Raw genomic sequence first — 1,455 nt, 5'->3', positions numbered from 1 at the left:
TACTCGGGAGGCTGAGGCAGGAGAATGGCGTGAACCCGGGAGGCGGAGCTTGCAGTGAGCCGAGATCTCGCCACTGCACTCCAGCCTGGGCGACAGAGCGAGACTCCGTCTCAAAAAAAAAAAAAAAGAAAGACATGTAAAGGATCTTGAATAGCCAAAGCAACTCTGAAGAAGGACAAAGTTGGAAGGCTACTACGACTTGATTTCAAGACTTATTAAATCCTGCAGTCATCAAGACAATGTGGGATTGGTATAAATATGACAAATAGACCAATGGAACAGAATGGAGTGCACAGAAATAGACCACACCTATATGAACAACTGATTTTCAACAACGATTCAGAAAACAATTTAGATGTACACATGGGCCTGGTGATGCCACGGTGAAACGAGAGCCGAGTTTCTCGGACATCACACGCCTCGTGCTGTGGTGTATGGCCGTGGCCGTCTCCTACATTCACGTTTACGGCCACCAATCTTTTCAAAAGAAATATTTCCATATTGATGGATGAAATTTTAAAACAGCAGCAAGAACTTCTGGGCCTAGATTGTTCAAAATACTCACCAGAGTTTGCAAATAGGAACGACAAAGGTGATCAAGTTCTAAATTGCCGTTTGGCAGTGAAGGTGCTGTCCCCGGTAGATGGAAAAGCAGATATTCTGAGAGCTGCTCAGGACTTTTGCCAGTTAGTAGCCCAGAAGCAAAAGTGACCCACAGATTTGGAAGGAGCTATGTTAGGCAGTTTACTTAGTTCAAATGGTTCTCCTGATCCTGATTTAGTATTGAAGTTTGGTCCTGTGGACAGCACATTAGGCTTTCTTCCCCGGCACATCAGATTTACTGAGATTGTCTCTTTGCCTGCCCACTTAAACATCAGTTATGACGACTTTTTCTCTGCCCTACATCAGTATGCAGCCTGTGGCCAGCGTGAGGAAAAGCAGTAGTTATTGGTTGCATAATTGGATTTTAGGCTTTTAGAGAAAAGGACTCAAGTGACTCTGATGTTCACAAAGCACCTATGAAACCCTGTACACACCTAGTCCATAATCCTCATAATTTATCAACAAACACAAGTGTCTGATGTCTGACTTGAGAGAATGTGTGTATGTGTGTCTGTGTGTGCATGCGTGAGTGCACATATGTGCACCTTTGTATGTATGGAAATAAACTTATACATGGGGACGTACTGGAGAGGGAAATACATAGACATAGAACTTGGAGCAAATAGCAGCGATGTTGTAGGAACTGAAATGTCACACTTAAAGTCTTCAGCCCCGCCAACTTTCCTGTTTTTGTGGGGAGAAGGGGGCCTGATTAGAGCTGCTCTGGTTGTGTCTGGCGGGAGGTGAATAATTTTTGTTCAGTCCTTCTTAGTGACCAAACTTTAATTTTTAAGAATAGGATATTGACTTGTTGAATTGAAGGATTCTGTGAGGTTTTTGTTTGTTTGGTTG

At 43.4% G+C, this 1,455-nt stretch overlaps 1 pseudogene; it reads left to right on the top strand.

Moving 5' to 3' along the window:
- NUS1P4 (NUS1 pseudogene 4) lies at positions 357 to 1,125 on the top strand (annotated as a pseudogene).

Source organism: Homo sapiens, chromosome 13, assembly GCF_000001405.40.
Source record: "Homo sapiens chromosome 13, GRCh38.p14 Primary Assembly".
Lineage (NCBI taxonomy): Eukaryota > Metazoa > Chordata > Mammalia > Primates > Hominidae > Homo > Homo sapiens.
The sequence above is the reverse complement of the archived record's forward strand: the minus strand, read 5'-3'. Positions and strand labels throughout refer to the sequence as shown.